Below are 12,511 nucleotides of genomic sequence, written 5' to 3'. Positions count from 1 at the left end.
TTTTGCATACTTTCAAAGTTTCCCTCAATAAGCAACTATTACTGTCACGCACCTCACTCCTGACACACATATAAAGAAAAGAAATATACGAATGCCAATTCCAGTATGAGGTGACAGTGGTGGCAGCTAGCAGCATGGAGAATCTACATTCTAGAGGTCCCAGGGATGGCACCAGCTGCCCCTCATCTATATCCTGCCTTGCTCATCTGGAGAGCCTGGGAGGAGGCTGTTGCCTTCCAAGGAGGATCACTGGAGTCCAGGGAACAATCCATTCTGGCAACAGGATGCTGCAAGACCTCAGAAGGAGTAAGACCAAGGCAGATGGGAGAGCAAATGCTGGCTTTGGCTGCTTCAACCTTTTGAGAGAAGCAAGCCACAGGCTCCACCATGGAGGTGTAGAACTTGCAAGATTTACGGTGCTTAGATCCGCCAGAATTTGCATCTTGTCCTAGGTCTGTGTTCTCTGTTAGCCCCAACACATCGGTGTTCTTATCACATCGGATATAAGCATCGCTATCCCTGAGTAGTGAAGACCACAGGGTGATTTCCACGCACCCAGCCAGGATGTTATTAACAAAGGACTTAAGAGAAAGGAAAAGAGCCCCTTTTCCTTTAATTTGGAGTGAGAGAAGTCACTCCAAATTAATAATTCCCAATCTCAATTCTACAACTGTGAGTCAGTCTTTTCTCCATAGCTGAGATTTCTTCTGAATATGCAAAATATTTCCAGTCCCCAATTTAGTGAGAGTCTAGGATTTGACATCCAAAAATAATCAACCTTGCGGTTAGCACAGAATAGAAGTTGTTCCAAACTTTCCTGCTCCCAGATACAAAAGGGAAACCATTCATTCGTCTTTTTTCTCACAAGACTCACTTGAATCATAGCACTATGATTGGAGAATACTGTCTTCTCCTTTTTTTCTTCCAGTTTCTAAACAACCACCAACCTCTAAAAGCTAGAATTATTTCTCTGACACTTGACATCAAGAGAAAAAGCTAGATGAGAAATACATTCCTATCTGGGATTTATTTATTCAAAAGAGCAACTTCTAGGGTGTGTCAAAAGGTTTAGAAAGACTCAAGTCAATTTAACTTTCCATCTTCTGGTCTTTTTCTATCCATCAAGAATCAATATTTGGAAAGCTAACCTCAAGGCGTTGTATAAATCACAAAGTATTTTCAAAGGCAGATCAATGCTTATTCAGATTTTGTTGTATTTGTTGTTCTGAAACTTAGCATTTGAAATACAATGTATATGGCAACTCTTGGTGAATCACAACCCATTCCCCTGACAAGATGTTTATGTTATACCATTTAAGAGGTAAAGCTAAATGAAGCCAGCTAGGTCCCCAGACCTGTTACCTCTGATTAGATCTCCTGCTTTTAAGTGTTTTGCCTTAACACCTGCTGGCTCGACCACCCCCCAGAACCCTTCTGTCCCCATTCACAACAACCCCTTTATGAAGAACTGTGCCTGTTCCATTCATTACATGGCTGCAGAAATCAGAAGCCCTCCCCAAGGAGTGGAAGGCTACCAGGAGGGGCAAAATCTATCCACTGTGGCTGAGCAGCTCTTTGCAAGGAGGTTTGAAGAGTTACCAGGTCACTACCTCTTGAGAGAAGGCACAGAGAATGCCTGGCTGAGACTGTTCTGCAAATGCTAGTGCTTATTGAGGCATTTCAACTCCAACCCACAGAATTTGGGACCTTTGGAGCAATCAAGGGGAAGGTGGTGGTGCTGCTGATGGCGGTGGAGAGCTCTGGACTAAACCTGTCATGATGATCCTGGATTGTTTTTATTCCAACCTCCCAGCTGACCTTGGGGACTGGATAGGTAAGTACTAAGACAACAATTCTCAGACCTCACCCACTGTGTCTTATCAAGTGCATCATATTTTCTAGCTGGGTCAGCACATGACTATTGTTTCTAACGCAAAGAAAACATAACACAGGGCATCCATTTTGCTGGAGGGAATTGACTAGGCCAGGCTCAGACACTATTGCATAGTGGGTATCTTCAATACAAAGGAAGCTGCCCCAGTTAAGGAGGCAGAACTAGGAAAAGACCGACTGAGAAGAGGCTGGGCTCTGTGTTCTCACATGCATAGGTCTCCGGGCTAGGAGGGGCTTTGGGTCACACATCCACCCACCAGATGGTCACCTGGTCATGGCTAGAGGCCTCCCTCTTCCAATTCATTTCTGTCTCTCACCCAAGTTTCCTCTTCCTGTTTTAATGTGCTAGCCCAACAATCCCCACTGAAGCCAAGAAACAGAAACTGAAAATCTTTTCCATCCCAAGTTGACAAGTCCTCACTGTCCCTTTTGCTCTGACTTCCATTTCAGTTTTACAGCTTCCAATTTGGCTCCTTCCCTCCCCAGGAAGAGAGAGAGCAGCCAGCCAGTCACTGCTTCATACATTGACCTTGGGAGAGAAGGCCCTGGGAATGGTTTCACGACATCTTTGCATCTCTCGGAAATTGGGTAGTCCTCCATTTCTATGGCCATGCTTTTTGGCCAAGAACTGTGGAGGATGGCAAGTTAGAACCTTCTAGAAAGGGGATCTGTGGGCAAGACTAGGGGATTTCCTGCCTGAGAGAAGCTCTCTGAGACTGGTATTAAGCCAGGGCAATGCACAGGTGAGGAGGCTTCCTCTTGGCAGAGGAGGCAGCTTTGGTTACTTTGAGAAGCCTCAGATCTAGGTGGGCAGAGCCTTGCCAGTGCCAGACACACAGACACCTGGATTGGTGGGGAGGGTCATGCCTCCAGGTGGCCCCTAAAGTGCACTGGCACATGGACAGCCCCTGACCCTTCTAAAGCCTCCTGTCCGAAACGGTGATTGTTTTTCCAGAACTTCTCGCTTACTTTTAGGGAACAAAAGGTAAAATTGACTTAGCAACACCTCACTTTTGAGCAGAGAAATGAAATATAACTGAGTGGTTTCGTGCATGCATGCCCTTCCTTTCCTCCGAGGGCCTGGCATGGTGCTGGATACAGGGAATCTGGCAGTTTATAGAATCAGGGAAATCAAGGGGCACTTGAGCCCTTCTCACCAACCTGCTTTTCCTTAAACATCTAACCCCTGCTTTGGGGTCCTCGAGGTTTTCACAGGAAACGAAGAAAGAGAATACACACCAAAGAAAGATCCTGGACACTGGGTGTGTTCAAAGAGTGAGATTGATTTCTTTTTATTGCCATCTTAACAAAAATACTTCGGAAGGCAATCTTTGATTCCAGCATCGGAGGCCGGGCAATTCCAGGCAATAATTAAGCCATCAGGCTGTTGGACAGGAGAGTGTTCAGTTTGAGGGAAGCAGGAACCCCCAAAGAACCACAGAATGGGGAGATGGAGCCAAAGGCACAGGGACATTGCAGTCACCTTCCATTCTCCCTACGTGGGACAAAGCTTGGCTTGGGTTTACAAGCAGCGCTCCAGGAACAGCCTTGGAAGGCACTAGATGCTGCAATCCTCCCAGCTCCCACTATGGCTGGGGGCAGGATGGGAGGGTGGGGGGTTGTTGGGTGGAGGGGTTGGCTGGGGGACTTCTGCTGGGGTCAGCTTCAGGTCAGGGAAAAAAAAGGACACAGAGCTGAGGTGCACCCAGGTCAGAGCTAAGCTTGTATCTGCCACCTGCCACTTCCCTCTCTAATGCTAAGAACCCAGTTTTCTCCCCACACTCCAACATGAAACATGAAGCTAGAGGTGTATGTAGCTAGTGCGTAGGCAGCCCGAGCAAGCAGAGGCAAGGCATGCTGGAACCTGGAATGGGACATGAGCCCCACTGGGCTCTGGATTCTTTTAGAAGCCAGGGAAGAGGTTGCCCTCCACTCCTGAGATCTGGCCCTGCCTCTCCAAGCCACTGGCTATGAGCCATAGAGCCAGGGCAGGGTGGGAGAATCACCTGCTAAATGCTAGGTGCCTCCCACCTCACCCAGGACAGCTGAGGCAGAAGCAGAGATACAGGGGGCAGAGGCCTGGCAAGGGGCAGAGGCCTGGCAAGGGGCAAGACCTGCCCCCTGCCTCCTCTTCCCACTACTCCAGATCTGGCCTCTGACAGGGGAGCTGGGAAAACCGATACCCTGGCTTCCAGTCCTGGCCCTCTCACTAACTGGCTGTGTCATTTGTCTTATACAGATGATGATGATAAAAATGATCATAATAATACCTGACTTGGCTGTCTTGAGCTGACTGTCCTGAGCCCCCACTGAGACCACCCAGACTCTGCAAGGGCGAGGAAAAGCATAAAGTGCTCTCTATGAATGCAAGACAGTCTTTTCCTTCCTCCGACGTCATCCCATTCTTCTCCCCACTCCAAAAAAGGCAAGCACAGCAGCTGAGCACGCGCACAAGGGCAAGCGGAGGGCCAAGGCGGGCACCACCCCCGGGCAAGGGAGGGTAGACCCCTCCCTGAAGGACCGACTTGACCTGCCCATCAGGCCTCACCCCCTTCAAAAGAAGCAGCATCAGGGCCTGGGAGGTCACATGTGGGAGGCCGATGCAGCAGCCCCAAGGTTGGAAAGTGGGACTCCATTCGGATGCTCCCCACTGTTGCGCCCCCCTCCCTGCAAGGCCTGCCACCACGGGACACAGACCAAGAGGAGAACGATCTCCAGGCCAAGCAAGCATCAAGCAGGTGGCTTTTCTTGCATCTTCAGCATCCGCCAAAGATGAGGGTGCGGGTCTGAATACATGCTCTGTTAGACCACAGGGCAGCGACCTGCGCTCGGTGAGGAGGTAACAGCGCCCCCAGTGTCCTACAAGGGTCATCGATCCTGTTCCTGGACACGAAAGACTGGCCCCTGTTGTGAGGCCAGACATCCCTCCTCCATGACTCTTCCTCCTAGTGCAGACTAGCTGGGTTAGAAATTGTGCTTTCTCTTCCGAGACCTGGTAGTCCGTGTGGGGGCTGATGCTGGGGAAGCTGGTGGGGGCTCTGGCAGGGGGGCTTGGGCCTGGGTGGCCTGGGGAGTGGAGCCCGTAGGGTCTGCCCCTTCTGGCCCCCGCTGAGATGCCTGAACCCCATCCCGGATCTCTGTCAGCGTCTGGCACATCTGACCGACACGGCTGGTCAGCTCGGCCATGGCCTGGCCGATGACGTGCATGCTGTTGGCCATGTCCCGGTGCACGGTCACCAGCTCCTGGCAGAACTGCCGGAACACCTCGGTCTGCTGGGCATGGACGTGGAGGAGCTGCCAGTCAAGGCCCGTGGTGGGTGGGCTGGGGTGCGGCCGAGGGGTCCTGCAGGCAGCCTGGGCCTGGGGCGAGGGATGGGGCAGGGCCTCTGGCTTGGGGCCCACCGTCTCAGACTGGTCTGAGGAGGAGGATGAACGGAGCAGGGCGGGCCTGGCCAGGTGGGCCTCTTCCTCCGGAGACCGCTGCAGAGGCACCCGAAGAGGCTGCCTTGAGGGCCCAGGCGCCTCCTCATCTTCATCATCTTGGGGGACAGAAACAAAGATGGAAAAGTGGTTACAAAAGGGAGAAGGAGGGAGGCCCAGGGGTTGGCCCTGCCCCTGAAAAACACCTGAGTATCCCCCTGCCCTGCCACCCTGCGGTCTAGTTTGGCCCCCGCCCATAGAGAAATCCACGTTCCCCAAATCCCTGAGGTGCGTGGGCCCAGCATCCCTGGGGGGAAGTTCCTCTTCCTCTCAACGGAACAGCTCTATTCTAGTGGGGAAGAGCCCAGGCCAGGGGACTTGGAGACCGTGGCCCACCGGCTGCGTGCCAACCCAGCAGCTCCTGACCTCAGCAGTCAGTTCATCTCTCTGCACCTCACTTTCTGCAATGATAACGACTGCCCTGTCTACACATCGAACCGCTTGGCTACCTAATTGGGTTGTTAAGAAGAGTCATAAACAAGATGACAAACATGAAGGTGCTCTGTAACGCTGAAGGAGCGGCACCTGCCTAAAGGTACTAAGACGCTCTTGGCCCTCTGAGCACCAGACTTTCTGAGGCCACGTCTGCATTGCTTGGGGCCATCCTGTGGCCTTGCTGGAATCTGCACACTTTTTTTTCCATAAGTTATTGGGGTACAGGTGGTGTTTGGTTACATGAGGAAGTTCTTCAGTGGTGACTTGTGAGATTTTGGTGCACCCATGACCCAAGCAGTATACACTGTGCCATATGACACAAAGGCATAAGATTGATACAACGGACTTTGCGGACTTGGGGGGAAGAGTGGGAAGGGGGTGAGGGATAAAAGACTACTAATATGGAATCTGCATCTTTAAATCACTGCAGCACATGCTGACAGGCTGAAGAAACTGGCAGGACAGTGCAGAGCAGGAGAGCCACCTCTGCAACCAGCCCTGCTGTCCCCCTGTCCCCCAAGGCAGGCTTCCAGTTCAGTCACATCGTGCTCCCATCCACAGGGGCCATCGGACAGACTGCTCCTTGCAGCCGGACACAGGGAGGGGGCCCAGCCTCTGCACATGTGGGTCCTGCTTTCTGGTGACCAAGGGTATGGGCTGATCCCTGTGGCAGGATTAAATGATGTATGGGCTGACCCTACTGACAGGCAAGCCCTCCCTGCCTGGATCTGCGGACTCAACTCAGAACCACCCCCCAGGAAGGTGATGGGGAGGACAGACAGGTTTATCTTACAGTTACCTCATGCCTCCCAGGGGTCCTGGGGGCTCACTTGGGCCAGCTTGGTAAGAGTCCTGTGTCTCTTGGCAGTGTTTGGTGGGACAGCAGCCATCCCCTGAGATCCCAGAGACCTGTCTAGCATGGCCAGTGTTGGAAGGAGTGAGACCCGGCGAGGTGATGCTGCTCCTTCCCTCCCAGGTCCCCGTTCTGCCAAGCCCCTGGCCGAGTGCTGCCGCAGCTGGCCACTGCCAGGAAAAGGAGGGCTGTGAGCCTGCCATGGGGGTGAGCGGGCTCTGCCTGATGGCACACTCGGGCTCCCTGCCAGCCCAGGTTACCTTTGGTGGCCTCATTACATTCAGTCTCAGGGAGATGGAGGGGTGAGCGGAGCAGGATGCAGGGAACAGGCTTTACTGGATGCTGACCCCCCCATTTTTTCTTATCACGGGGTGGAATCCTCTTAAGACTTAGGAAAACACTGATTCACAGGAAGCCAGCAGACCCGGGTTCAAGTCCTGCTTCTGAATTGAGCTCAGGGCCACCTTGGTTTTCAGAGCTTACTTTCTGCATTGCAAGGAAGTTGAACTAAATGGTCTCCATGTTCTTTTCCAGTCCTAAACATCTGACTCTGTGAACTGCCACCTGTCAGGAGCCCCAGCCAAACAGGAAGCAAGTGGATCACAATGGCAGGGGGCCCGGGAAGGGAAGGTGCAAGTGAGTCTTTGCAAAGCACCTTCCCATGGGCTGAGCCACGGCTGCTTCCCTGGGGCCCCTCCTGCCTGGCTCCCACCACTCACGAGCCGGTCAGGCAGACGGCCTCTAGTGGGGACTGCAGCTGGCGGGGCACGGGGGAGATGTGCAGAAGTGGAAAGGAAGGGTTGCAGTCCCTGCGGAGGCCTTTAGTGCTCCCCCTTCTGCTGAGCCCCAACTAGAACTCCAGCCCCAAGGGACACCCGCCTCGGCCGCTGGGGCCCTGGCTTCAAAGTGCATGTGAGACACAGGAAGTAGAGAGGAAAGGCAGGGACAAGTACAGAGGGAGAAGAGGGGTGGGGAGCGGGTGGCGGAGCAGCCAGGAGGATGGAGAGGGAGCTGAGAGGCAGCACACAGAAAAGTGGGGGCAGGCAGCGTGGCTCAGGCAGGGGAGTAATAATAGAGGAACAAAGCAGTCAGGACCAGACACAGAAAGGAACTGATCTTTCCATGGCCCGGCCCGGGCCTTCACAGCTTGGCCGCCTCGTCTCCAGCCCCCTCCCCCGCGCTGCTACACTTGGGCTTTCCTGGCTTCTCACTGTTCCTGGAACGTGCCAAGCGCCTTCCTGATGCGGGGCCTCGTACATGCTGTTCTCTGCCTGCGCGCCTCCCCTCCCCTTCTCCGCGCCCCACGCTGCTGCCTGGCCTGGTTAACTCTTACTCTTCACATCCTAGTCCGCTGGACTTCTTCAGGGAGCCCTCCCCAGTCCCCAGTGGAGCCAGTTTTACCCACTCCTTAACTCTCAGACAGAGCTGCTACATAACCTGCAGGGTCAAATGCAAAATGAAAACGTGGGGCCCCTGGCTCAAAAACTATGAAGAATGTCCAGATGGCGACAGCAGAGCCTGAAACCCCGCGGCCCCTGTGACTGTTCAGGTTGCATGCTCATGAAGTCAGCCCTGCTCTCGGGACCTCCTGGACTCCTGTGTCCTCCATCCCTTCGTTTCCAGTTTACTCGTGCAATTATTTAACGTTGGTTTATTCCTAGGAGTCCAGGGTCTCCCCAAGAGCAGGGCCTGCGTGGGGTTTACACACAGCTGTCTTCCCAGCTCCTAGCACGGCTCTGGCACGGAGATGCTCAGTAAATATTCGAGAATGAATGCAAAAAGGGATGGAGAGGAGAAGAGTGGGAGAAGGAGGGGAGGATGGAAAGAGTGGGCTGGACAGAGAGGGACAGGAGAGAACCAGAGGGAAAGTCGGTGGGAGACTGTGGACTGTAAGCTGGGGGGCAGGCAGCCGGCTGGGTGGCGGGGGGGACTGGTGATACTCACAGCTGGTCGAAGGGCTGTCGGTGCCATCCAGTTCCGCCCTGGGGAAGCCGCGCCCTGCACGGGCCGTGAGCAGCGCCGACTTGATGGCCCTCTCGTGGGCCGTGAGCACGATGGTGGGGGCCCGGCCCCCGGCCCCAGGGCCCGACAGGGACTGCTGCATGAAGGCCAGCTTGTCCTTGGTCCTCCGTTTCATGTCATCCCATCTGTGCTTAATGTCCTTGACGGAGCGGGGCACCTGGCTGACGGAGGTGATTTTCCGGGCTATGCCTTCCCAAATCTTGTCCCTGTCAGCATGGGACAGCCGCATGGTCTCCCTCCCAAAGAGCACTGCTTCATGGTGGGTCACCTCTGTGACAAGAATGTCCAGCTCCTCCTTGGAGAACTTGGGCTTCCTCTTACGCTCAGCCAGGTGTGCCACATTCCTTGGGTTGAATATCCCACAAAGCACAATTGGGTAAATGACCGTCAATGCAGGTGGTTCTCCTTCCTAATTGCTGGCCCCCAGCTGGGGAGCCAGGAGGCACCTGGGGCAACCTGGCCCCCACCACACCCTCCTCCTACTGAGAGGTCCCTTCCACTACTCCTCGGAGGGGAGGGTGGAAAGAAGAGACGGCGTTACATGGGAGGGAGCACTGAACTCAGAGTCGAAGGCCTTGGTTTCAGGGCCTGCTTTAGCTCTTACTAGCGGTGAGAGCTAGGGCAGTTCATGTTCAACCTTTCACACCTTATTCTCCCTGTCCAGAATAACAACCACAACTCTTCGGGTTTATTACTAAGGAGGGAAACACATCATGATGTAAGGGGCTTAAAATCTCTTAAAGATAGCAGTAAAGGATCTTATTGAAATTAGGATTAGCCCATTGCCTCTATAAAGCGATATTTACCTACAGCCCTACAGCTGAATGAATGGCTCGGAAGAATACGTAACCAGGGAAACTATTTACACTGGCTACCGTTGGGTGTAGCAGTGACAATGCCATGATTAGGGTGTGGCCACAGAAAGCTTATTCTGCCTAGTGGCTCTCTTCCCCTTCCCCGTCCCGGTCAGTTCTCCAAGCCCCCACCTTTGCATATGTGCAGGCAAACAGGTTTCCTTCCCATGGGAGTGCTTTCTTCGGGGGTGGGCTGCTGTGACTTTTTGGTAGAATTTGAGAAGCCCACGACTGTCCTGAGGGAGTCAAGTTCCACTTTGGTGGACACCAGGGGGACCTGGGATTCCCTCTCAACTGAGCAGCCAGAGGCCCTGGGCAAGGGGCACAGCATGGCCCTTCCATCCCACTTGGCTCCTGCTCTGGCTTTGGAACTTGATTTCTCCACATCGTGGCTCTGTCACCCTTTTAACTAGTGATAAAAGGTGAAAAAATCCACCCAAGAGAGGACATGAGGGTATGGAGGAAAGCTCAGAGCGCATTCACTCCTTGGTTTCCTTCTGAAACCAAGAGGGGAAGGCCGGCGGCACCAACATCCTTCAGCCCTCACCTTCCTACTCAAGCACCCAAAACACCAGGGCCCAGAAGATGGGAAGAAGGCTGGGGGCCTCATTACCCAGTCCAAGATGGTGGCAGGAATATGGGACTAGACCTGGAACTAGAGACTGAGTCTCCTTGGGCCAAGCCATGGGACTCGTGTGAACCCAGTCTCCTTCTCCATAAAACTAGGGTGACAATTCTAGTGTCACTGTCCAGGGCTATCAGGAGGACTTAATGTGGGTGTCTCAATCTTGCCACTATTGGCAGTTGGGGCTAGAAAATTTTTCGTTGGGGGGAAGGGGTGTCCTGTGTAATGCAGGATTTTATCAACATCCTTGGCTTCTATCTGATAGCATCCAACCATCAAACATGTCTCCAGGCCTTGCCAAATGCCCCCAGGGGCACAAAATAGTGCTCGGTTGAGAACCACCACAGACAGATCACCTAGATGGGGCTGTCATAAAGATAAGCTCAACACGACAGTGCCCATTCGCCTCCTGGCCCACCATTAATTTTGTTAAGAAACTAACAGAGTCCATTCAATCATCCCCAAGCGGTGCCATGACAGTGCAAAGGAGAGCATCTGCAAGTCAGAAAGAGCCACACCACGGAAGCTGGACATGAAGGGAAAGGAGGATTCCCAGGATTAACAGCTTTCCCGTCACTCCAACAGCAACAGGAGGGGCGTCTCCGTGGCAACAAACTGCATCCCTAACCCAAACCTGCTCTTTGAGTGGTCATAAGATGAGAGCCCACCAGCTGTGACTACCCAGATGCCATCTTGAATCAGGACAGGCTGGGAGCAGAACAGGACAGAAACCATGCTAGCAAGGTGGCAGTAGCAGAAACCCCCAAACCCCTGCTCACCAGTGCCCATCCAGGCCCAGGAAGCCACGCTTCACCTGGTCCCTTGTGCACAAGCAGGAAGAACACCGACCTAGGATTACAGAGCCAGGAGTTCAAATCCTGATTCTGCTACCCTGACTGTATGCTCTTAAGCAAGACCTTGCCCTGCTCTCAGCTTGACCACTGTGGCATGAAGATCTGTACAGAGCAGTGGTTCTCAATGCTAGTGGCACATCAGAATCACTAGCTTTAAAAATACCAAGGCCCAAGGCCAATCCCCAGCCCAATTAAGTCACAATCTGCGGGGTGCCAGAGGATAGATAAGTTAGTTTGGATGATAGCTCCCCTTTTTTGGGGTTTTGAGAAGGCCTTGTCCCCAGGGGGAAAGATCAGAGATGGGTGAAAGAGTGGAACAGATTCGGTTCTATGGGCAAAGCTCCCGGCGCCTTAAAAGCAATAGCACAGAAAGCCTGATTCCCAAGTGGACACACGCACGGTCTCCCCTGCTTGCCTGGAGCCAGGCTGCAGCCACAGGGCAGGCAGCACAGCAGCACAGGCTTGGGGTCCAAACTGAGCAGCCGCCCAACAGCCTGACTAGACACCACAACCCAGTGTCCCCAGACACAATCCTGGCCCCTTTGAAGGCCCATGTCAACGAACCCCTCCTCTTTCATCTGGGCCTCTGCAGCACATTGTGCCTCGGTGCAAAAACTACACTGGAAAGTCACCTCTGTGGTAGGAGGTGTGAGCCCGGGAAGGGCCAGCGGGGGTGGGGCATGGGGTGTGGTGGGGCAGGGCTGGGTGATCCACCCTGGTACCCATTTCACAGTCTGACTCAAACTAGGTGCTCAGTACACAGGTGATGAACTGTAAGTGCTCAGCTGACCTGGACCCCGTGGCAGTGAGAAGAGAAGGCAGTCAGGGTGTCAAGCCACCTCCCTGGGGCCACTTTCAGGGCAGTGTCGGATCAGCTGTGTCCAAGGAGGTTGGGGGCAGTCGGTGCTATTCTCCACACTGCAAGGCAGGGGGCCCGCTGGTCTCTGGAGCCTCTGTTCTGCACCCATCAAACGGCAATGAGAACACCTTCCCTAACCCATAAGAGGGCGAACGCTAAAGTAATCTGGGAGGTGTGAACTGCTGCTCAGCCACTCTCTGATAGGAGTATAGGTGGGCAGTGGAGCCACTGGGAAGGACACAGGAGCCCTCATCACATACTCTACGCCTCAAACCTGCTTCTCCTCATTTGCTTAGAAAGTCTCCGAGTTTAAGACAGCACACTCCTTTTTAGGAAGTTGCCCTCTCTCCAAGTACAATCCCACCATCAGCCTCAAGGCCTCATGGGTCAGAAAACTGTGCAAATGCCGGCAGAGGGCCCCAGGCCCATGGTGTGGCTGTGCCCCTGACTCCAGACATCTGAGGCTTCCTTCCCCTCCCACCCAGATCCAAATCTCCAGCCAGTGCTCCTAGGTCCCAGAGAGAGGCCACCAAGCAGGCAACAAGGCATGTCAGATCTCCCACCCCTGTCCACAAACCCCACCAGGCAGAGTCCCTCGCACATGGCACAGACCATCAGCATCACGCTGGACCCATG

At 53.8% G+C, this 12,511-nt stretch overlaps 1 protein-coding gene across 14 annotated transcripts in view, besides 5 other annotated features; it reads right to left on the bottom strand.

The window, feature by feature from the left end:
* PRDM11 (PR/SET domain 11) overlaps window positions 1-12,511 on the bottom strand; it is a 140,951-nt gene that overhangs the window by 17,209 nt on the left and 111,231 nt on the right. For 4 of the 14 annotated variants that reach the window (NM_001384649.1, NM_001384650.1, XM_047427313.1 and 1 more), the window contains exons 6-7: window positions 8,606-9,027; window positions 3,157-5,432 (exon numbers count right to left, since the gene is read on the bottom strand). The exons of the other annotated variants lie outside the window; for them this stretch is intronic. In NM_001384649.1, coding sequence (NP_001371578.1) covers window positions 4,858-5,432; window positions 8,606-9,027 — 997 coding nt within the window. In that variant the 3' untranslated portion in view covers window positions 3,157-4,857. Of the gene's footprint in view, window positions 1-3,156; window positions 5,433-8,605; window positions 9,028-12,511 lie in introns of those variants that run through there. 14 annotated transcript variants of the gene reach the window in all.
* Window positions 3,957-4,818: an enhancer, noted in NCBI's record as "H3K27ac-H3K4me1 hESC enhancer chr11:45234634-45235495 (GRCh37/hg19 assembly coordinates)". NCBI's record gives its function as "activates a minimal SCP1, AML or CMV promoter by ChIP-STARR-seq in naive H9 embryonic stem cells {active_cell/tissue: H9 hESC(naive)}" and the evidence as "EXISTENCE:reporter gene assay evidence [ECO:0000049][PMID:30033119]".
* Window positions 4,819-5,681: an enhancer, noted in NCBI's record as "H3K27ac-H3K4me1 hESC enhancer chr11:45233771-45234633 (GRCh37/hg19 assembly coordinates)". NCBI's record gives its function as "activates a minimal SCP1, AML or CMV promoter by ChIP-STARR-seq in naive H9 embryonic stem cells {active_cell/tissue: H9 hESC(naive)}" and the evidence as "EXISTENCE:reporter gene assay evidence [ECO:0000049][PMID:30033119]".
* Window positions 6,259-7,005: an enhancer, noted in NCBI's record as "H3K27ac-H3K4me1 hESC enhancer chr11:45232447-45233193 (GRCh37/hg19 assembly coordinates)". NCBI's record gives its function as "activates a minimal SCP1, AML or CMV promoter by ChIP-STARR-seq in primed H9 embryonic stem cells {active_cell/tissue: H9 hESC(primed)}" and the evidence as "EXISTENCE:reporter gene assay evidence [ECO:0000049][PMID:30033119]".
* Window positions 7,006-7,753: an enhancer, noted in NCBI's record as "H3K27ac-H3K4me1 hESC enhancer chr11:45231699-45232446 (GRCh37/hg19 assembly coordinates)". NCBI's record gives its function as "activates a minimal SCP1, AML or CMV promoter by ChIP-STARR-seq in naive H9 embryonic stem cells {active_cell/tissue: H9 hESC(naive)}" and the evidence as "EXISTENCE:reporter gene assay evidence [ECO:0000049][PMID:30033119]".
* Window positions 7,754-8,501: an enhancer, noted in NCBI's record as "H3K27ac-H3K4me1 hESC enhancer chr11:45230951-45231698 (GRCh37/hg19 assembly coordinates)". NCBI's record gives its function as "activates a minimal SCP1, AML or CMV promoter by ChIP-STARR-seq in naive H9 embryonic stem cells {active_cell/tissue: H9 hESC(naive)}" and the evidence as "EXISTENCE:reporter gene assay evidence [ECO:0000049][PMID:30033119]".

Source organism: Homo sapiens, chromosome 11 (assembly GCF_000001405.40).
Source record: "Homo sapiens chromosome 11, GRCh38.p14 Primary Assembly".
Lineage (NCBI taxonomy): Eukaryota > Metazoa > Chordata > Mammalia > Primates > Hominidae > Homo > Homo sapiens.
The sequence above is the reverse complement of the archived record's forward strand: the minus strand, read 5'-3'. Positions and strand labels throughout refer to the sequence as shown.